This window comes from Homo sapiens, chromosome 7 (assembly GCF_000001405.40).
Source record: "Homo sapiens chromosome 7, GRCh38.p14 Primary Assembly".
NCBI lineage: Eukaryota > Metazoa > Chordata > Mammalia > Primates > Hominidae > Homo > Homo sapiens.
The window spans coordinates 11552573-11576909 of record NC_000007.14 but is presented as its reverse complement, the minus strand read 5'-3'; the positions used below and the strand labels follow the sequence as shown (position 1 = coordinate 11576909).

At 36.3% G+C, this 24337-nt stretch overlaps 1 protein-coding gene across 6 annotated transcripts in view, besides 1 other annotated feature; it reads left to right on the top strand.

Moving 5' to 3' along the window:
• THSD7A (thrombospondin type 1 domain containing 7A) overlaps positions 1–24337 on the top strand; it is a 461834-nt gene that overhangs the window by 255289 nt on the left and 182208 nt on the right. The window lies entirely within an intron of this gene.
• Positions 19032–19131: a silencer, noted in NCBI's record as "silent region_17976". NCBI's record gives its function as "represses an Ori minimal core promoter by ATAC-STARR-seq in GM12878 lymphoblastoid cells {active_cell/tissue: GM12878}" and the evidence as "EXISTENCE:reporter gene assay evidence [ECO:0000049][PMID:35858748]".

Sequence of the window (24337 nt, the reverse complement as noted above, 5' to 3'; positions counted from 1 at the left end):
TGTCTACAAGTTTATCAAAATCATCAGAAGTGCATCCTATTAGCTGATAATGTTTCTGTTGCAAAAATAAACAAAAATGGCCTAGAAATCTACTTCTTATAAAAGAAAATTGAAGGGAAAAGTATAATGTAAGCCCTTTATAGGAGCCAACGCAATTAAGTTCATTCTGTGACATGATTCTATAAGGTCAATATGGAGTCTTGTTCACAGTTATTTGAACCAGCATTATGTTGAACCATATGATATTGCTATTTTTGTAGGTCAAGATCTGTCAATTAGTGGCAATTTCATACAGTTTAACTGAAAAGGTACCTTTGATGTATTATATCAAGTCACCTGGTATGAATTACTGTCTATCCCACACTTGACATTATCAGAATCAAATCCAGACCGGCTAGCTATGAATCGCAGTGACTCTTTCCATGTGAACAATATGCATTCGTGCTGTGTGCAGTGTCCTCTAGATAGGGCAATGATTGTCTTCTGTAAAAATATGTAGATTTCCCCATAGTAGATATTCTTTATGGGAAAATAACTCAAATTGATGGCTTCAGAGTGACTGGAATTCATCAAGCATTGTTTATGCGCAGTTAGAAAAGAAATTGCTTGCATTCAATGATGTGATTTTGAATATTATGTCCCACTTTATTGTCTATAAATACCGACAATAAAGGGAGATAAAGTAATTTTAAGAATAAATGGATGAGGAGTGTGGGGCAAAGGAAAAATGCTAGTAGAAAGAGGATATCAAACCAATAATGAATATAACAAGGATGATGCACAAAATGTGTATCATAAGATTCTGTGAATTTCTTGAAGTAGGCCACAACTTCTGGCTCTAAGCTTGTAATAGCCAATGTAGAAAGGAACACTGCATTAACCGTGAAATTTGCAGTGCCCATTAGGCAACAGAAACCAGTTGTAAATGAGAAGCACCATGATTTCTGGTTCTAGAGCCAGAAAGAAAATTCACCAGTGGGCCTTCATAAAAAAGACACTGTAACTGTGTTGAATTACAACTTATTAACATCTTTACAATAAACACCATAATGAATTTTATAAGGAAGCTTTTTCTTTAAGCAATTTTCTTATACATAGGCCACTAGTAGAAATATCAAAGTGTAATTCAGTAAAGGGTAATAAGTGGCGGTTGATATGATATGGTACAGATTTATAGGTCTCACTAAGCTGGATAACCCAAGGATAGACTTCGAAATGGATGTACTAAATGAATGGAGGTACAGCTATTCCCTCAGGCAATCCTCCTCTGAGCTTTGATAGAGGCAGAGAGTTCCGTTATATCCCCTGACACAAGTATCTGGAGTACAGCTCTTCTGCTTACTGCTTAGGTGCAGTTCAATGCAGAGACACAATTTCCAACCATCATTGCGGTGAGGATAGGATAAGCATCCTCAAATGGAAATTGAAAGGCTTGACAGGACATAATCTTGAATAAAATATTATCCCACTTCTACAGGGGATCCAGGCCTAACTAGATGCAGGGCAAAGAAAAAGTTTATCTAGGCACTGATAAAGGAAAATCAAAAGTCCTTAAATCTGTTTGCTGGCTTGTAACCCATAGCAAAAATCTGAAGCAGATGTAAGAAAGACCCAGTGTTAACAATAACGCCATCTCTTTAAAAAAGCAATTTTGCTTTCTAGTATTTCCTTCAAGAAAAAAATAATTACCAAGTTTCTGTCTATAGATCAAAATGCGTTAATTTGAAGTAGTAATAATAATGATGCAGAGGATGACGAGGATGATAGATGATTACTATATGTGAGACACTATTCTAAGTGTTTTACATTTATTTACTTATGAGACCCTCACTATAATCCTATGAGGTAAGCACTATTATTATATAATATGGACGTACAAAGAGCTTAAATAATTTTCTTAAGGAATATAGCTAGTAAACGTCATAATCAGGATTGTGAATCAGTCTGGCTCCAGAACCAGTGATCTTAACCACTGTGCTATACAGTATAGGGTTACTACTTGTAAGCCAGTTTTATGCTAGAGAAAAGCTATCTCACCTCTAAACGATTATTGGTTTTAGAAAATGTGCCTCTCTTTTAAATAGTGATTCAGTCTTATAGCTAATGGTCTATTAAGGTTACTCATATTTAATGACAATAAAACTGCACTTCACATGTATGATAATGTTTTTGTTGGCCGGGCGCGGTGGCTCACGCCTGTAATCCCAGCACTTTGGGAGGCCGAGGTGGGCGGATCACGAGGTCAGGAGATCGAGACCATCCTGGCTAACATGGTGAAATCCCATCTCTACTAAAAAAAAAAAAAAAATTAGCCGGGCGTGGTGGTGGGCGCCTGTAGTCCCAGCTACTCGGGAGGCTGAGGCGGCAGAATGGCGTGAACCCGGGAGGTGGAGCTTGCAGTGAGCCGAGATCGTGCCACTGCACTCCAGCCTGGGCGACAGAGCGAAACTCTGTCTCAAAAAAAAAAAAAAAAGTTTTTGTTTCCCTTTTCTATGACAGGAAGGTATCCATACATTTATTCATTGAACCAATGTTTACTGAGTGTCTTCTATGTCTTAGGCATTATTCTAAATGCTGAAAATAGAGAAATGAACAGCACAAACACTATTCCTGCTGTCACAAAGTTTACACTTTAATGGAAGGAGAAAAATTATATACCAAAAAATAAATAAGAAAATATCAAAGAGCAATAAGCACTATGCAGAGAATTAAAACAGGGTTATGTGAAAGAGAATAACTGGGTAATAATGTTATTTAGATCACCAGGTTTTGTTTGGATTCCGAGATTTATATATCTAGCCCAAAATTTTCCCCTGAGAAACAAATTTGCATTGATCTTTCTACGTGACGTCTCTAATCATAACACTCAGGTATGCTTGTTTTTCCTTCATATGCTCTTAAAATGACAAAATACATGTTTTTATAACATCAGAGTACACGTGTCTGAATAGTAGGAGCTCCATGATCTTGAATTGATTGAATAGATGTGTTCATATAAATTTCCTAAAACTACTTAGGGGAAAGATATTAACAGAATAGGTGACACATAATGTGTTCAGTAAATGTTTATTGAATAAGTAAATAAACTGACTCAGTAATAAACCCAAGCGTCAATAAATACGATTACAGACTAATCTGTACTCTTGCAAAATGCCTTTCTCTGATAGCCAGAGAGATGAAAGACCTAAAACTTGTATATTTAGGAATATATCACAAAGCCTAGGAAGTAAATAATTAAAATAATCAGAAAGCAAACATATTGTTAGGCTTCTGCTTCTATCCATAAGAGAATAAATGGAACCCTGCCATAAGAACAACTATAAAATTTAACAAATTATATAAAGCAGCTGTTTTTAGTCATTGGCCAACAAGCCAGAAGACCGTGATTACAGTTGTGAACTGAGCTTCAAAATTGCCTCCATCTGCTACTGGGAGCTCTTTCTTGCCACAGAGGGAGGTGAAGACAAGAATAGTGTCAGGTGTAGCTGAGCAAAGGAGTCAGAAATCTAAGTGCTGGGCTAGGAATTGGCTGGAAATTTTAGGACAAGGTACAGAGAAGGGGAATCTACACTGGAGGGAAAGGACAGAGTCCAAGAGTCTCAGTGTGGATACACCATGAATCCTTGGCCAGAGTTTGGCTGAATACATGTGGGGTGATACCCTGGAGTCTAGCAGAGGTCCTGTGGTGTGAGTTTGAGAACTGAAAGGTGATAGTATAGGTAGCACAGTGCTGAGTGATGCTGAGCTCCAGCCCTGTGAGAGTGAAGAATACTTGTTGAGCACCTCAGGTCTCAGAAAGACTATGGTCCCAGAAGGTCCACACTGTCACAGTGCAGTTCAAACTTAAAAAGAGCTAGCTCTAATGCAAATAAAATCAAACCTGAAAAGATCAGTAGGATCTGCCAATAATTAAACTGTTTGACAGAACAAAACTTAACACCTTATAAAGGAAGATGACATAATCGAGGTTCTCTACAATATACTGTTCACAAAGTTCAAAATATAATAAAAAGTTACTACACATGAAAAAAGGAGAAGAAAAAGACCCATTATTGACGGAGGGAAAAAGGCAGTCAGAAGAAACGTATCATGAGATGGCCTAGATATAAGAATCAGCAGACGAGGACTTTAATCCCAGCACTCTGGGAGGCTGAGGCAGGAGGATCACTTGAGCCCAGGAATTTGAGACCAGCCTGAGCAAAATAATGAGACCCGCCTCCAAAAAAAAAAATTAATTTGCTGGGCATGGTGGCTGGTGCCTGTAGTCCCAGGTATTCAGGAGGCTGAGGTGGGAGGATCACTGAGCCTAGGAGGTTGAGGCTTCAGTGAGCTATGATTGCGCCACTGCACTGCAGCCTGGGCAGCAAGTGAGACCCTGTCCCCCCAAAAAGAAACTACTAAACATATGTTCAAAGACATAAAGGAAAAGAGTGTCTTGGGGAGTGAACATATGCGAGTATGAAGAGAAAAACAGACATTATAAGGATGTGGAAATTCAAGAATGTACAAACTCTGCAATAAAAACTCACTGAGTGGGCTTAATAATTGAGGATTGCAAAAGGAAGGCTAAGTGATATTGAAGACAAGTCAATAGAAATTATTGGATCTGAGTAGAATAAAGCATTGTTGATCTTGAGGACAAATCAATAGAAATAGATCTAAAGAGAGAAGATTGGAGGGAAAACAAAGTAAACACAAGGTGGGACTCATGCCTGTAATCCCAACACTTTGGGAGGCCAAGGTGGGGACACTGCTTGAGCCCAGGAGTTTGATACCAGCCTGGGCAACATAGTGAGATGCCATTTCTATTAAAAGTAAAAGTGAACAGAGATTCAGTGATTAATGGAATAGTGTCATGGTGTCTAATAAATGTATTAATGATATTCCAGAGAAAGAAGGGAATGATCTGACAGAAAACATATTTGAAGAAATAATGGCCAAAAAAAAAATCTCAAATTCAGTTAAAAAAACATCAACTTAAAGATCCACAAAGCTCAGCAAACCACCAGCAGAATAAATACAAAGAGGACAACAGCAAAAATACCCTATACTCAAATTTCTGAAAGATAAAGAGAAAATTTTAAAGCAGCCAGAGGAAAAAAAAAAGATACAATACATACATGTGAATAAAGATAACGAACGAGGGTTGAAATCTCAGACAATGAAGTCTGCAAGACAATGAAATAGTGTTTGCTGAGAAAAACTGAACGACTACATTTGGTGAAAATAGTCTTCAAAAGTGAGCATGACAAACGGACATCTTCAGAGAAATGGTAACTGAGAGAAGTGGTTACTGAGCAGTTGTGAACATAGACTATGGAGATAGATTACCTGAGCCATGTGATCTTGGACAGGTTACTTAACTTCTTTAGAAAAATGGTAATAATAGAATTTTTAAAAATTTAAAATAGTCCATATACTGCACTTAGAACAAGGCCAGGCACATACTAAGCTCTCAACAAATCTGATCTAAAATATAAGGCACGGCCAATGATTTAGCAAGAAGTATGAGATGAAATTCAGCAGTAGCTCAACAGGGGAAAACATGCCCACAATTACAGCTTAGAACTTGGGGAATGAGTAAGTAAATGAGAACATCATGTTCCTCAGAATAACATCGTAATTTCCTTTCAGAAAATAAATCAAGGATCTGTGGAACCTCCACCATCTCCTCAGTTCCAGAGAGCCTCATATAGTGGAACCAAAACTTATGGTCTGGAAGAGAAATCAGCTTCCCTTCTCATATTTGTGCCTTCCCATATCTGTTTGGTGCCAGCTAATGTAATACCAGTCCTGACCAACTGATGTGTCCTCCCAACTAAAATGCAGCTGAGCCCATTGAAAACCATTCTCCTAACTAGAGAAAGGAGCAAGAAAATCACAGCCAAGAAGGTCCAGCCAAGAAGTGCTGGGAGTCCTCTGAGGACTTCATCAAGAATGGAGACAGAAATAACCCCAAAATAAGAATACAAGAATTAAATGGAATACATATGATACCACATACCTTGTTTTGGATCTACCTCTAAATATCCTCTCAAGAGTTCTTTTCACATTTCATGCCAACTGGTCCCCCATCAAGGGGAAAATAGAGGCTTAAATCCCTCTCCACCCCTACCCACTGCTGTCTCCCTACAGTCTCTCCTGGCTGGGTAGCAATGCTGACATTTTTTCCTGCATGTTCAATGGTTCTTTGTGTCCAATTAAAAGGATTTTAAAACAGGTAGTTCTTTATGTAAACTTTGAATGATGTAAAATATTAAAAAGCAAGGCCATTTTTATTATTGACACATAATAATTGAGTGTATTTATGTGGTACTGTGATGTTTTGATACATGCATACAATGTATAATGATCAAAACAGGGTATTTAGGATATTTGTCATCTCAGACATTTATCATTTCTTTGTGTTGGGAACGTTTCAAATCTTCTCTTCCAGCTATTTTGAAATATACCATCAATTATTAACTAAAGTCACCCAACTGTGCTATTGAAAACTTGAACTTACTCCTGTGTATTTGCCCCATTAACCATCCTCTTCTCATCCCCCTCTTTCCACTACCCTTCTCTGTCTCTGGTAACTATCATTCTACTTTCTACCTCCATGAGATCAACTCTTTTTAGCTCCCACCATATGAGTGAGAACATGTGTTATTTGTCCTTCTGTGCCTGGCTTATTTCACTTAACATAATGACCTCCAGTTTCTTTTTTCTTTTCTTTTCTTTTCTTTCTTTTTTTCTTTTTTCAAGATCTTGCTCTGCCACCTAGGCTGGAGTGTGGTGGCAGGGTCACAGCTCACTGTAGCCTCAACCTCCTGGGTGAAGCAATCCTCCCAACTCAGTCTCCTGAGTAGCTGGGACTACAGGCATACACTACCATGCCTAGTTAATTTTTGTACTTTTTGTAGAGAGGGGGTTTTGCCATGTTTCCCAGGCTGGTCTCCAACTCCTAGGCTCAAGTGATCTACCCACCTCAGCCTCCCAAAGTGCTGGGATTACAATGTGAGTCACTGTGCCCAGCCTAGTTTCATCCATGTAGCTGCAAATGACATAATTTCATTTCTTTGTATGGATGAATAGTATACCATTGTGTACATGTACCAAATATTATTTATCCATTCATTTGTTGATGGACACCTAGGTTAATTCCAAATCTTGGCTATAAATAGTGAATAGTGCTGCCATAAACATGGGGATGCAGGTATCCCTTTGATACACTGATTTTCTTTCCTTCAGATAGATGCTCAATAGTAGGATTGCTAGATTGTATGGTAGTTGTTTGTAATTTTTTGAGAAACCACAACACTGTTGTCCAAAGTCACTAATTTACATTCCTACCAACAGGGAACTCTTGTTCACTTTTCTCTTCATTCTTATCAGCATTTCTTATGTTTTCTCAATTTAATAGTAGCCATTCTAACTGGATGAGATGATCTCTCATTGTGATTTTGATTTGCGTTACCCTGATGAGTAGTGATGTCAAGCATTTTTTTCATGTATCTGTTGGCCATTTGTATGTATTCTTTTAAGAAATGTCTATTCAGACCCTTTGCCCACTTTTTAATGGAATTATTATTATTATTATTGCAGTTGAGTTCCTTGTATATTCTAGACGTTAGTGCCTTGTTGGATGAATAGTTTGCAAATATTTTCTCCCATATCAGAGGTTGTCTCTTCACTCTGTTGATTATTTCCCTTACTGTGCAGAAACATTTTATTCTAATGTCCCATTAGTTTTTGTTTCTGTTACCTGTGCTTTTGAAGTCTTAACCATAAAATCTTTGCCTAGACCAATGTCCTGAAGCATTTGCTTGCTTTCTTCTAGTCATTTTATAGTTTCAGGTCTTATGTTTAAGTTCTTAATTCATTTTGTGTTGATTTTTGTGTGTGGTGAGAGATAGGAGTGTAGGGTTTGTTTTTTTTTTTGTAGCTATTGTAAACGGGATTGCTTTCTTGATTTCTTTTTCAATAAGTACATTTTGATGTATAGAAAAGCCATCAATTTTTGTATATTAATTTTGTATCTTGCAACTTTACTGAAATTTTATTTTTATCAGTTCTAAGAGTTTTATTGGTGGAAACTTCAGGCTTTTCTATATATACAATCATGCCATCTGAAAAGAGGGACAGTTTGACTTCCTCTTTCCCAATACGGATACCTTTTATTTTTCCCCTTGCCTGATTGGTCTGGCTATTTCCAATATTCTATGGAATAAGAATGGTGACAGTAGTCATCTTTACCTTGTTCCAGATTTTGGTTTTTTTTTTTTTTTTTTTTTTTTTTTTTTGAGACGGAGTTTCACTCTGTCACTCAGGTTGGAGTGCAGTGGCGTGATCTCGGCTCACTGCAAGCTCTGCCTCCCAGGTTCACGCCATTCTCCTGCCTCAGCTTCCCAAATAGCTGGGACTACAGGCACCTGCCACCACACCTGGCCAATTTTTTGTATTTTTAGTAGAGACGGGGTTTCACCATGTTAGCCAGGATGGTCTCGATCTCCTGACCTCGTGATCCGCCTGCCTCGGCCTCCAGAGTCTTGTTCCAGTTTTTAAGGAAAAGAAACTCATTCCATTTTAAGTGATATTTGAAAATACTCAGTGACACTACAGAGATATGCAGAAGGTCAGCAGAGTGAAGAACTCCCCATCCCACATACGTTGCTGTGGGTTCTCTCATTGTTTCTGTCCAGAGGAGAAAACAATCTGAAATGTCTGAGAACAGTGAACTTAATAATAATACAACAGATAAGGACTAAAGTTGTTGAATTGCAAATAAAGTTTTAACGAAAAGTAATTAGGTAATTAGTATGATACTTAAAATACTATTTAAATTCACGAAAGAATAACGATAGGAAAATAACAAGATTTTGAGTGACTATAGTAGATTAGAAGTCAACAAAAACATAAATGTAAAAAGCATAGTGCTGAGATTAGAGTTCAAATAGGTGAGATAAAATGTAAGGACTCATTAATAGTAATTACCAAAAAAATTAGGTGAGATAGTTTAAAATCTATAAGGAGAACATTTTTTAAGTAAAGGAAGAGCTTAAAGATTTGAGGGAGAGAAAAGGAAAAGAAGAGAACGAGACTGGGAGACGTGGAGTGAGCTAGGGTCAAAATATGCAAAACTGGTCTGACTTGTGGTGAATCCCAAGTTGAGGTAACAGGGTCCATATACAGCTGTGGTTTGCAATCTTATCTCTTCACTGGAATTACCCAAGGAGCTCTTAAATATCCTGCAGCTCAGGCCTTACCTGAAAACAGTTACCCTAAATCAGATGTCAGGGTGAGAAATCCAGCTATCGGTAGTTTTAAACCCTCTCCAGGTGATTCCAGTTATGGCCCAGGGTGAGAATTATTGCTCTATTTGGAATGAACATCAAGAATGCAGAAAGCAATAAAATTTCTTCCTGGAGTAAGTGGAATGATATGGTTAGGCTTCGTGTCCCCACCTAAATCTCATCTTGAACTGTAATCCCCCTAATCTCCATATATGAAGGAAGAAACCAGGTGGAGGTAATTGAATCATGACGGCGGTTTTTTTCTGTGCTGTTCTCGTGACAGTGAGTGAGTTCTCACGAGATTTGATGGTTTTATAAGGGGCTCTTCCCCCTTTACTCTGCACTTGTCTTTTCTGCTGCCTTGAGGGGGAAGTGTCTTGCTTCCTCTTCACCTTCCACCATGATTTTTAAGTTTCCAGAGGCCTCCACAGCCATGCTGAACTGTGAGTCAATTAAACCTCTTCCTTTATAAATTACCCAGTCTCGGGCAGTACTTTATAGCAGTATGAAAAAGGAATAATACATGGGATATTGGGCCCTAAAGGATTATTAGCTTTTACTTAGTAAGTTAGGACTGGAGGGAGATACTTAAAAACAAACCTAGAGCTGGTCCTTAGAGATAAACAGGAACAACAACTTTAGGAAACTTTGTTGGTCAGTCCCCCCCCCACTCTCCCACAGCTGGATCCACTTTGCCTGAGATGCGGTTTTATCAGCTCACAAAAGAGTTAAGATGATCACTAATATCAAACATTTAGAAGGATTTCCTAGCAAGATTTGAGATTTTCAATGACAAATATTTTTGAATTTCTGGTGTCACTCTTCTAAGCAGTTTTATTTAAAAGAATATAGGCAGTGTAAACTTGAGAAAAGTATTCCAACTCAGCTTATATGTTGGCACAAGTAAAAACGGGGACATAGACTTTCTGAAATATCCAGGAATATATCACGAGTAGAGAAAATAAAATACCATTGAAAAAATTATTCTGCATATTCTTATGGTCAAAGACAATAATAGCAAGCAATTGTTTATCAGAGTGCATGCAGCTCTGTTCTGGAATGTACATGGCATCTCTAATAGGTATGCATGTAGTACCATGGTACTTTGGAGCACCTTGTGGTTAACTTTTGCTGTACTCCTTCATAGCTGTGTTCCTCAAAGGGTGATCTAAACATTACTGCATCAGATTCACATAAAGTACGTGTTAAAAATCCATATCCCTAGTTTATATTTCTGGATTTCAACCCAAATGTAGTGAATCGGAATTTCTGAGAATAGAACCCAGGAATCTGCTTCCTTAAAACATCCCTTTCTGTCTCTCCTACCTCTCTCCCCAAACCCCAGTAATGGAGACATGTACTGAAAACTGAAAAATTACTGTTCTAAGGTTGAGCATAGGTCATGAAAATTATGATTATGCATCACAGACTGGGACACCAGTGACTTTGCCACATTCCAGAAAGCTGCATAATGATATTTTTCTGTGGGCAATGTTGACACTCAGCAACATTTGACCTTTCGTATTTGTTTTTAAGAAACACATGCAGTAGTTTAAGTAATCCCAGAAGCCTTACTGCTATTTTTTTAAGGAGCCTTGTCATAGATATCATGTGTCTTGCGATGAGTGGGGTGAATATTAGCAGCCTTCATGCTTAGCCTAATAAAAGGAGAACCCAGAAGTACTGAAAACTCCATTTTTTAAATGTCAAACCCAGCAGTTTAATTCAGACCTGCCAATTCAGTTGGCAACTGCAGGAACAGGTGGATTCGTTGTAGGTGGAGTGAAGCAAGGCAGGAATGGAGGTACAAGGAGGAGGAATTGGGGTGATTGCTGTCACTTGCAATTTTGTATGTAGCAAAGGACTCTGATCAACTAAAAAGCAGTGTGAGAAAATAGACTTATCATGGTCTAGGGGTTCTAGAACAAGAGGAAACGATGTGATGACAACCAAGAGCCAGATATTGCTTGCTTAGACCAAAATCTTTGGAGCCATACTTGATTCTTCTCTCTCTAACCCCCACAACCATTTCCTTAGAAAATTTTCCTGACTCTGCTTTCAATATTTATCTGACCCCTTCACTTCCACTATCATCTTCCAGTCCAAGCCACTGTTTCTTGCCTGTATTATTGGAATAGTCTCCTAACAGGTAACCTTGTGTTCCTTGCCCTGCACAATCAATTCTTCGCATGACAACAGAGCATCATTTTAAATCTGAAGTCTGGCTGTCACTCTTGTGTTTAAGCGACAGTCTGTGGATTTTTTTGTGATAAATAATTATATTTGGAGTTGCTCAGCAAATGTGTGGAGCTGTTTGCAGAACTTTTTTGATTAGATACTCAAATTCTTCTTCAGTACTTACTTTGAAACAAGGATTATGATTTCACAAATTCTAAATGCTACAGTTTTGTTATTATATTTTGGATAACATACATATTCCAGACTGCTTATTTTAATTTACAGTATCAGTTAATGCTGTTTTTGTTGTTAGGGACATCGTGAGAATTTGAGTCAATAACGGTATGCTGGAAGAGTTCAGTATGAGTTCTATGTACACTATTCTACAACATGTCCTATTTAGAAAAAATGGAAAGACAGACTCTCCATATTTGCAGTGTTGCAACAGATGGTACATCCCCATAGTAGAAGAGTCATATCCCCAACAAGCTGTTGATACAATTTGTGAAATTTAAATTCTAACAATGATGAAATTGTTAGAAAAATGTATATTTTGAACAATCCCACTATTTTTAAGTGTTCTTATCTTACACGAAACAAGGTCAGTGAGAGAAATTATCTGACATATGTTTATTTCTATAAATAATTTAAAAATAGCACAGTTGTATTTTATTTGAGTCATGACATGAGGAGTGATTTTCTAGGAAATATGGCATCGTGGGCATAGACATATGGACCTTTCTCTATAATTCCCTAAAATGGCCAGTGAATATACAAATAGGGAAAACCCTATACCTGTCCTTGAAATCAGGAGACAGCCCATCTAGACTCTAGACCCTGGGAGGAGTTTCTGTCTGCTAAGATGGTATTTATATAAGACTGGAGGAACAGACACCAAGGCAAAGCAGCAACCCCTGTGAGACTGAGTAATATTTGTAAGAGAATTAGGAAGGGACCCTGGCAAGGCTCACTGGCATCCTAGCTTGGAAGAGTGAAGACTGAAGGCAAGGGCAGTCAGGACCCATCGCTCAAATATCCTCCTAACTTGCTGACACGCAGCATTCAGGCAGCAGACCAGCTGCAAGGTGGGCTCAGTCCTTTATGTAGAGGAGAAGGCTTTCTTGGAGATCTGTCCCTATCTGTTACAACACTGTTAGTGTCCACGTGATAACTCCCTCCTCACCAGCAGTGTTTTCGACACCCATAATTGGGAAGTTAAAACTAGAATATAAAGCTGAGGAGAAAAGAAAAAGGAATGCTCTTCAGGTTTCAGTCTGGACCTAAAACGTCCTTTTTTCAAATATTTGGAAAGAACCTTATCTAAATTTATATAATGTATACAGTGTATCTTTCACTCGATTGTAAACCAAAATAGACCAAGCCTAGACCTTCTCTAACTCCAAAAGAATAAACAGAAAAGTCAACAGGTTTATGTAAAAATGTTCTAATTCCAAAGACAGTGACCGCTCCAATGAACAGCTTAGCTCTGAAATAGTCTAGTGTAAGAAAAAACACTTTTTAAAAATATGATTTGTGACCTCACCACAATTCAAGAGATTATCCAAGCAGCAAGCATGAACACGTGCAAAGAGGATGCGATCTATGATCAAGCAGGATGGCCAGGGATGAAAATAATGGCTATCAATTCATGAACTGCACAGAGTAGTTGATTGGATACTGAAGATATTGATTATGATATAGAAAATGAACTCAAGTACAATTCATGTATGCTTCCTAAATTATATAATGTCTTGGTTTAAAAGAACAAAAGACTAATCAAAAACCATAACTCAGTGGCTGGGCATCGTGGCTCATGCCTCTTGTCCCAGCACTTTGGAAGGCTGAGGAGGGCGGATCACCTGAGGTCAAGAGTTTGAAACCAGCCTGGCCAACATGGTGAAACCCTGTCTCTACTAAAAAAATACAAAAATCAGCCAGACATGGTGGTGTGTACCTGTAATCCCAGCTACTCAGGAGGATGAGGCAGGAGAATCTCTTGAACCCAAGAGGCGGAGGTTGCAGTGAGCTGAGATCACGCCACTGCACTCCAACCTGGGAAACAGAGGGACACTCCGTCTCAAAAATAAAAAATAAAATAAACTTAATAATGAGTTATCGTAGCTAAAAAGGACTGGCAGGGAGCTTTGAAGCGCATTAAATACCAAAAGATAATTCTCAAGCATTATTTTAAATATGGCTCAAAATTGATTGAGGAATAAATGTATGAGCTTTGAAAACAATGTGTTATAAATTTTTTTTAAGTATGATGGGGTTTATGTCACCATTATATTAACCAGGCTGAGAAAGACAAGAGGAAATAAACTTCTATGATTCAAGTTTAGTACAGGAACATCTCCAAAAAGCTTTGAGCAATCACTGGTAACATTGAATTTGATTAATTTTCAGGATAAAAGCTTTCTTTATTTGCTTGACGCCAATTACTGCGTGAATTTTTAGTGACTCTAGCTAAGGTCTAAGTAAGCTTTGAGCAAATCATCCATAGAACCTTCTTGAAATTAAAACTGCTTTGGTAAAATATACCTGAAATTACTACCACACACTTGTAGTAACTCAGAAGGACAAAACAGTAAAAACAAAACATCAAAAACGCACCACTAGTGCCAATGGCACCAAAACACCCTTTGGCATGTAATGCCTAACATAATGGCAGGGAGTTGCAAAGAGTAAGCACTTAATATTTATTTTAACTTACTGAAAAAAATTTAAAAAAAATAAAAAGGGAACAGAAAGCCATTTGTAACTAATTTTATTTGTCGGTCTTTGGAATCTCTTGTTATCAAGCATCCTTATATTTAGTAATAAAGTTTTGTCAGTTCCTATACAGAAATGAAGGTTTAAATCCAAGAGAATTTCCTTGTATTTGTGAATTAGCAATCAAATAAGTTCGTTTAAGGAAATAAAATGCTAATTTAAGAAAAAGGTAGATTTACAGGGATGACAATGGAAAAAAAAATACGTATCAGGAGGTTTTGAGTGCCTGAAATGCTCAGCTGTTTTGCTAAATGGATGAATGAATTATTAAATTTATTGCATTTTTCTCAACCTTTGAGCACCAGTATATCTTTTGAATGAATACAGAAAATGTATATCATTATTCAAATTAGTCTGAAGTAGACTGTGTGAGATCTCTGATTCAAAATAGTCTGAGAATTCAAAGATATATTTTTATGATTTAGAAAAATTTTAAAAATGTACATTTGTACATTTGAGAGCCTTAGAACAAAAATGATTTAGCTTTGAAAGATTAGATATTTAAAATGGATGAGAATATAAATTGCTTTTTAAGTAAAATACTGGGGATTCATTTTCAGATGAATATCTCTACCAGATTCTGCACTGGTCCACATAAAATAACCAAATAGTCTGTTTTGAAAACTTATATCATTCTAGTCAAACTATTCCCTGTACTAGACTTCCAGGAGTTGGGTGGGAACTGGGGGAAGAACATGTCTTCTACTAACTGCCATATTAAAGTGTAGCATAGTGGGTAAGTCAGCTTTGAACTGTTGCTAATTAACTGTGTGACCTTGGGAAAATTACTTAATCTTTTTGAGCATCAGTTTCTTATTTATTTTATTTTATTTTTTGACACAGAGTTGCTCTGTTGCCCAAGCTGGAATGCAGTGCTGTGACCTCCCTCACTGCAACCTCTGCCTCCCAGGTTCAAGCAATTCTTGTGCCTCAGCCTCCCAAGTGTGCCACCATGCCCGGCTAATTTTTGTATTTTTAGTAGAGTTGGGGTTTTGCCATTTGGCCAGGCTGGCCTTGAACTCCTAGCCTCAAGTAATCCACCCGCCTTGGCCTCACAAGTTGTTGGGATTACAGGTCTGAGCCAACACACCTGGCCTCAGTTTCTTAATTCTTAAATGTGGATTACAGTTGTGCCTACTTCATGAGATTTCTGTGAGGACTAAAATAATTTCTTTAGTAAATGCCATGTAAGTGCTTACTGTTATCAGTATAAGTGCAGAATATCCCATTTTAATAATAATTTAATTAGACAGGTAGTTATTGGTATCTAGCAGAAGGAAAATTTAGTTTCCATTTCTCACTGCGGCACAGAAGTCAGAATAATTTTCATTGATAGACCACTAGGTTTGATATGTGATTATCTTGATAGCCTCAATCATATTATGTTACTACATGACATTATATTAACAACCCTCATTAAATGTATTTTTAATTATGACCTATATTAAATAAATATGCATATGTGTGTGCCTGTGTATTTAGCTAGACATATATTATTGAAACCCTGTCATGTACCCTTCCAAGATTACATGGAGTAGTAATTAGAGGTACATACACACTGAAGACTATGGAGCCAGACTGCTTGGATGTGAATCTGAAATCTATACTTTCTCAGCTATGTAATTGAGGGCAACTTCATACTCGGTTGCCCTATATGGGGATAACTGGAATACCTACCTCATGGGTTTTATAAGAATTAAATAACTTAGTATCTGTTAAGTACTTGGAACAGTGTGACATTTCCTGGCATGTAGCAAACACCATCATCCATTTGTTATTAAATAAATTACATCTCCATTCACAAGTGGAAACCCTCTTCTAAACTTTTGTTTGTAATTCCTTGTTTTTCTTTATATATTTGACTTGTCAATGCTTTTCAGCCACAAACCACCAGGAACACACCCGTAGTTGAGCAAGTTGGGTTTGTTACTCAGTGGAGCTGGGGAGAATGCAACCATGGGCATCTCAGTAAGGATATCAGAAATGACATTATAAATAATGTGTTAGATTATTTTTAAGGAGTTTCAATAAATGGGCTTTGCATGGGTTGCATGCTATAAGGGAGCAAGAATAATTCTACGACTGGGTATCTAAATAAACCTTATCTGGAAGGCGAAAAAACTGGAAGGAGACTAAAGCTATAATTGGTAAAGAAGCAGAACTCATTTATATTAGCTGGTAGAAGGAAAGATTTGATATTTCAGGGCTCTCACAGTGACCTTGTTTTTGCTTAGACAAATTTTATAGTCTTATTTTTTGTCTCACTCCATCATAGTCACAGAATATGTGATGTGCTGCCCTATGAAGTTGTTCATGTTAAACAGGAACCATGTCATAGGTGTGAGTGCCAGGCCAGCCCCTAAAAGCATCAGGCCTAGCTGAAAGTGTCAGGCCAGGTCCCTGATATTCATGACTGCTTTCCTCTTTCTCAGACTTATGCATTTATCCCAAAACCTTATGATACTGCATTTTCAAAAAAATAAAATAAAGCTTTATATGAATGGTATCATTAAAAAATATATTCTTCGGCTTGCTTTTTCACTTTCTGATGACATGTATGTGGATTTTATATTGGTGATTATGCTCTAGCTTATTTCCACCTCTGTATAGTTTTGACATAACGTTATTCAATACCTCTTCTCTTTTAATTGGACATGAGTTGTTTCTAGATACTTGCTATTATAAACAATACTATTATACAATAACCATTCTTATAAATATCTCTCAGATAAATGTCTGATAGTTTTCCATGGGATATACCTAGAAGTATGCACATCTTTTCAATCATACTAGAATATTCCAAATTATTTTACATTTTGATCAAAACAACTTAAATTCCCACCAGCAGTGTCTGTTTTAGCTGCTTTATGTCTTCTCCAGCACTTAGTGTTATCAAACTTTAAAATGTTTTGACAAACTAGTGGATGTGCCATTTTAGTTTTTAGTTTCCTATTCAGTTGATAATGTGACCGTTAGTGGTTAATTTTAGCCTTTTGCAATCAATTCTTCCATCTTTTTTTATTCTCTTTCTTCTACTTTCTTCACTTCTCCTTTCTTGCCTTTCTTAAAATTTATTGCAACAGTTTTGTTATTACACTACTTCCCATGTTTCACAAGTCATACATCCTTATCCTATACATATATGGATTTATATATATATATATGGATTTATATATATGTATATGTATGGATTACCTTAAAATTTTAAGGTGGAGTTGCAAATGAATATAGTTTGTAATTAATGTATTTACCTTCCTAAGAATATTTTACTCTTATAACCCTCCACCAACTTACATAGTCTTCTATTTTAGGTCTTCTATCTTGCAATTATTTATAACTGTGTGTATTAGTTTTCTACTGCCTCCATAACAAATTTCCACTAACTTCACACCTTATCATACAGTTCTGTAAGTCAGAGGTCTGGCATGCATCTCTCCAAGCTAAAATCAAGGAGCTGACAGGGTTCCATTTCTTTCTGGAGGCTCTAGGGGAGGAGCTGTGTGCTTGCTCATTCAGAGTGTTGGCAGAATTCAGTTCCTTCGAGTTCAAAGACTGAGATCTTCATCTCCTTCCTGATTGTGAGCTGGAGACTGTTCCCAGCTTCTAGGAATCACCCACATCCCTTGGCTCCTGGCCTCTTTCCCCAAAGCCAGCAATGGCATATCAAGTACCTTTTATGCTTGGATATCTCTCCACTCCTTTTTCTTCCATCTCATCTTTCTAACGCACTCGAGAAGCTTCTCTCCTTTTAAGTAATAATGTAAGTAGATTGGGTCCACCTGGATATTCTAGGTTACTTTCCCCATCTCAAGTTTTAAACCTTTAATCACATCTGTGGAGTCCCTTTTGCTAAGTAAGATAACACATTCACAGGTTCCAAGGATTAAGGCATAGAACTTTTGAGTGACCATTCTGCCTTTCACACTTTTCCAATTATTATTTTACAATCAATGCTTAATTTTACTCCTATTTGATATTTTCTCTGACCACTATTCTCTCTGAAATTTTAGACCCTAGTTTTGTGATCACTTTCTTTTTTATGAGACATAAGTTCTTTAGAAATTTCTTTAATTATGGTCTAGTATAGTAATACTTTCATTTTCTGTCTGAAAATGGTTTCCTTTGCCCCTAATAATTAAAGATCCCTGGATATGCAATTCTAGGTTTCCCAGTAGCCCATTAAAACAGAAAGTTCTGTGACTTGGGATTAGTAGTTCACCAGGAGAGAGGCCAGATTTAGGACTGTGGTACTATAGTAGATCGGATTTATGTTGTAGATTTTGGGGATCCTCTGAGGATTTTTCTTATTATCCCAGTTGTATAATAAAAGGCTTTATTTTTAAAATAAGACACAGACTTTTACTTTCAAAAAGATAAAGGAGATGTACTTTTTCCTGTAGTTGCCACTAAATTAAAAAATATTCCCTGGAAGTTGTATAGAAAACAAACCATAAAAAGACTTTGAAAGTTGGAGAGAAGAAGGCAGATAAGCTAGATATGTCAAGGCCCAAAATGACAAGGTGATTAGTTCCCTTGGTTTTCTTTTTGCCTCCCACATCTCAAGGTTGGAGCTAAAGAAGCCAACAACACGGAAACATCAGTGGACACAGATTTGTAAAAACCCTAACAAATTCCTGCTCTTTCTAGCCAAAGGACAAATAAAAGACCAACTTAGCAAGACACAAAATTTTAGACAATAACCACTCTACCCAGCCAAAAACACACAAAAATAACATGGCCATACCCTCACCCATATCAGCAAAGTCGTGATGGGAACCTCAGTTTTCACCCTTGTGATACTGTAATGAGTCGCTCAACACTCCCACTAGGTGGTGTTAGAGAAGGCCAAGTAGGGAACTGACACTTCCATCACTGCTAGTTGCTATCTGGTAAAGCACTCCCCACCCCCACAATGTTAGTGAAGACAATTAGGCAACCAGTACACACAGCCACATAAAAGTAACTAGAAGTTCCTCTTTGTTATCAATGGAGGTTAAATAAGAAACCTGGACTTCTGCCTTCACCTTGCAGTAACAATGTGGCATACATACACCCTTTTGCCATTCTGGAGCAGGGTCATAAAAAGCCAGTTAGAAAGAAGAAAAGGATTTTAAAAGATCTAGAGTCTTGTGACATGAGGCAAAAATGTCTGGGTTTCAATCAAAGTCACTCCTTATGCCAAGAACCAGGGAGTTACCAGATTCAACGAAAAAAATAAATAAATAGCAGCCAACACTGAGATGATGAAGATGTTAGAATTATCCAACAAGATATAAGGAAGCCATGATGAAAATCTTTCAACAGTTATGAGCATGTTTGAAACAAATAGAAATCTTCAGCAAATTAATTGAAGATGTAAAAAAGAACCAAGTAGAAACTGCAGATCTGAAAAATGCAATAACAGATATAAAAACTCTGTATACGGGTCTAACAGCATAATGGAGGGGAGAGAGGAAAGAATCAAAGAACTAAAATACAGAATAATCAAAATTACCTAATCCGAACAACACAGAAAAAAATATGAGGGAAGAAAACTAAAAGTATTTCAGAGACCTGTGGGACTGTAACAAAAGATCTAACATTCATGTCATTGGAATTCCAGAAGAAGAGGAGAAAGAGGGCAGAGCTTAAAAGAAAAAAAATGTATTCAGAGAAATAATGGCTGAACACTTCTCATATGTTGTAAGAAGCATAAACCTACAGATTCAAGAAGCTGGATGAATTCCAAATAAGTTAAACCTGAAGAAATACATGCCAAGACATATTATAATAAAAATCTGAAAACGAAAGATAAAAGTATTTGAAAGCATCCAGAGAAAATTGATAACCTTACTACAAGAAAAAGAAATTTGAGTGACAGTGAACCAGAAACCATATAGGTCAGAATAAAGTACTACCATATTTTTCAAGTGCTAGAGGAAAAGAACTGTCAACTTGCAATTCAATACTCAGAGAAAATATCTTTCAAGAATGAAGGAAAAATAATGACATTCTTAATGAAGGAAAACTAAGAGAAGTTGTTACCAGTAGACTTACCCTAAAAGAATAGCTAAAGAAAGTTCACTAAATAAAAACGAAAGATTAAAGGAAGAAACCTTGGAATATCAGGAAAGGAGAAAGAGCGGGTAAACAAAGTATAGCTAAATACAATAGGCTTTTCTTCACTTGAGTTTTCTAAATTATATTTGACAGTTGAAACAAAAATTATAACACTGCTACCTGATATGATTCTAAAAATACGTAGACGATATATTTAAAACAATTTATTACAAATGAGGGAGGGTAAGATTTCTATACTTTAGTTGAACTAGCAAAATGAAAATATCAGTAGGCTGTGATAAGATATATATATATAGTATATCTTGTATATATATGTACATATATACACATATACACATACACACCCATATATATGACATATATATGTAATGTAATATCTACAGCAAACACTAAAAGAGCTATAGAAGGACATGCACTCAAAAACACTGTAGATAAATCAAAATGGTATTCTAAAATGTGTTAACTCACAGGAAGACAGGGAAAATGAAACAGAAATGAATAAATAAAAATAAATAGAAGACTTAGTCCATAACATATAAATAACTACATTAAATGTAAATAGTCTAAGTATACTAATTAAAACACAGATTGGTAGAGCAGATTTAAGAAGCAGGACCCAACTATTCACATTCTACAAGAAACTCACTTCAAATATAATGTTATATGCAGGTTTAAAGTAAAATAATGAGAAACTGTGTGTCATGAAAATGTTATTCAATGGAAGCAGGAGTGGCTATGATAACATCGAATAAATTAGGCATCAAAGCAAAGAAAATTACCAGAGACAGAGAAAGATATTATATAATTATATAATGACAAAAGAGTCAATCCACCAAGAAGGCAAAGGAATTCTATGTGTTTGTGCCAAACAACAGACTGCAAAATATATGAACAAAAACTGATAGAACTGAAAGGAGAAATAGACAAAACTGTAATTGACAAATAGATAATTGTAGTTGGAAATGACAATACCTTACTCCCAACACTTCATAGAATAATTAGGACGAAAATCAGCAAAAATACGGAAGAACTCAGTACCATCAACCAATAAAATCTAAAAGGGATTATTATAATTACTCCATCCAACAACAGCAGAATTCACCTTCTTTCAAGTGAAACATATACCAAAATAGACCATGTCATCATCCATAAAACATAGTTCAACAAATGTAAAATAATTTATAGAGTGTTCTCTGAGCACAATGGAATCAAATTAGAATTCAATCAAAAAAGATAGGAGTAAAATCTCCAAACACTTGGAAAACAACACACTTCTAAACAATCAATGTGTGAAAGAGGAATTCTCAAGGAAAATCAAAATACTGGATGAAAAGAAAATATATCAAAATCTGTGAGGCATAGCTAAAGCAGTGCTGAGATAGACATTTGTAACACCAAATGCTTACATTGGAAAAGAGGATAAGACACAAATCAATAATCAAAGCTCCCATCTAGAGAACCAAGAAAAATGGGAGTGAAATGAGTTGAAAGCAAGAAGGAAAGAAGTAAATAATAAACATAAGAACAGAAATCAATGAAATTGAAAATAAAAAATAGAGAAAAACCAATAAAACAAACAGCTGGTTCATTCAATAGATCATTAAACCTCTAGCAAGGGTGATAAAAGAAAAAAGAAAAAACACAAATCACCAACACCAGGAATGAAATAGGGAAATGTCACTACACACTTTACAGACATCAAAAGGATAGCCATGGAATACCTCAGACAACCTGATACACATAAATTTGACAACTTAGACTACATGGGAAGAATAAAAAAATCAAAATAAATTGCAACCTACCACAACTCATCTAATATGAAATAGAGCATTTCTACACAGAAAAAAAGAGGCAACAAAGGCACTGACAGTTCACCAAAAAGAAAAATACAGACCAAAATGCCTCATACATAGACAAAAATCCCTAACAGATATTAGCAAGTAGAATTCAGCAATATATAAAAATAATTAAAATATAAGACCAAATGCAGTTTATTCAAGGATGCAAGCCTACTCCAATATTAAAAAGTTAGTCAATGTAATTCACCAATTTAACAGACTAAAAACATAATCAATACAGCAAAAGCTATTTAACAAAATTTAGCATCCATTCATAATAAACTCTCAGAAAAAAATAGGAATAGAGAAGAACATCCTCATCTTAATAACACCTAGGAAAACCTATAGCTAACATTATACTTAATGGTAAAAGACTGAATGCTTGTTCCCTAACACTGGAACAAATGGTCTACTGGCAATCCTTGGTGTTCCTTGGCTTGTAGCTGCATCATTCCAAACTCTGTCTTCGTTAAGCATGGTACTTCTCTGTATGCCTTCACATGGCCTTCTCATAAGGACACCACCCATTGGATTTAGGGCTCACCTTAATCCGGTAAGACCTCATCAACTAATTACGTTTGCAAAGGCCTTATTTCTGAATAAGGATATATTCTGAGATTCTGGTAGACATTAAGTTTGCAGGAACACTATACAACCAAAGTACATTGATTGTAATAATATCAATATTCTGGCTGTAATATTGTACTATGTTTATACAATCTTGCCTATGGGAGAAACTGGATAAAGTATATGTAGAAGCTGTCAAATTACAATTTCATATCAATCTACAATTACCTCAAAACATTTAATTTAAAAATTATAGATATAATTTATAAGATATATAAACTATCTTTAGAGGTTATATAGTATGTGTATCTTCAGAATACTTCATTGGCCATCTTGATAGAAAAAGAAGTGTTGAGATTATTTTTATTTTTTTCCATTTGTAGAGCTTAAACATTCAAAACACAAGAATATTTCGGAACCATAAACATTCAAAACAAGAATATTTCAGAACCACAGAAATGCATCAGCCTCATTTTTTAAATTTGTTTTGGAAACTTCAGAAAGTTTAGACATTCTTTTGTGACCTTGTGAAGCATGGAATATACATTCATTTGAATCCTCTTTAAATTAAGAACAATAAAATTTCTCCATTATTCTGAGAAATCAAAAAGAAGTCTTCTTAAAGTTTAATATGTATTTCTCTGGAGTTTGTATTGGCTGAAGAACCATTTCTTAAATAGTAAATTATACAAGAGTAAGAACTGGGCCATTCTAGAAAATAGAAATCTCAGTATAAACTGAAATCCAGTAATTTTTCCTAGGTCTGTCCTTTACTTCATTCACTGAATTACACTGATTCCAAATAACTCTTGGGCAATTGCAGAAATGTAATCGTCTTACAGTTTTTGAGGAACTCAGGTAAGATCTGTGATTTACAATTAATATGTACTCTATTTCAAGAAAACCTATAATGAAAATCACCAAAGGAATAGAATTATACATAGCAGGTATTCTTCCCTGTTTCCTTGATTAATGAAAAAAAGCTTATGTATACATAGGGACAACTGTTAAGTAGAAATCATTCTTTGACAATTATGTCAGTGTTGATTTGGTGCGCTTAGCAGCTGAGCAAACCTCAAGAAGGCTTTGTTTCAGCAATACTGAAGCAGCTATGTTGTCTGGGGTATATACCCTGGGATTTGTCTCGTGCCAGGAAAATTTAGGACACAGACACAAATGCAGAGTTTTGGAGTGGAGATTCAATAGGCAGAAGAGAAGAGAAAGAGAAACATCTCCCTCTCTAGAGAGAGAGAAGGGTGTCTGAGCAGAAAAGACCCGAGGGAGGGGGATGTGCTGGATTTTATAGTCAGGTTTGAGGAGGCGGTGTCTGATTTACATAGGACTCACAGATTGGTTTGATTAGGTATGATGTTTACATAGCTTATGGGAAGGCTGGCTGCTCAGCCCTAATCTTATTATGCAAATGAACTCTCCTGTTGATCGGTACCATCTTGTCTGTTCCTTACTGTACACGTATGTGGCTCATAAAGACAAGGGAAGGTGGGGTTGCCATTTTAAACATGATTGGCACAACTACCAGCTTCTATGACTGCAGCTCAATTTTACAGGCTGTTCTTTGTTAAAAAGGAAAATGATGTGGGGCTGCTTTTCATTAAAATGGAAACCTTACCAAGGACTTCTGTACCC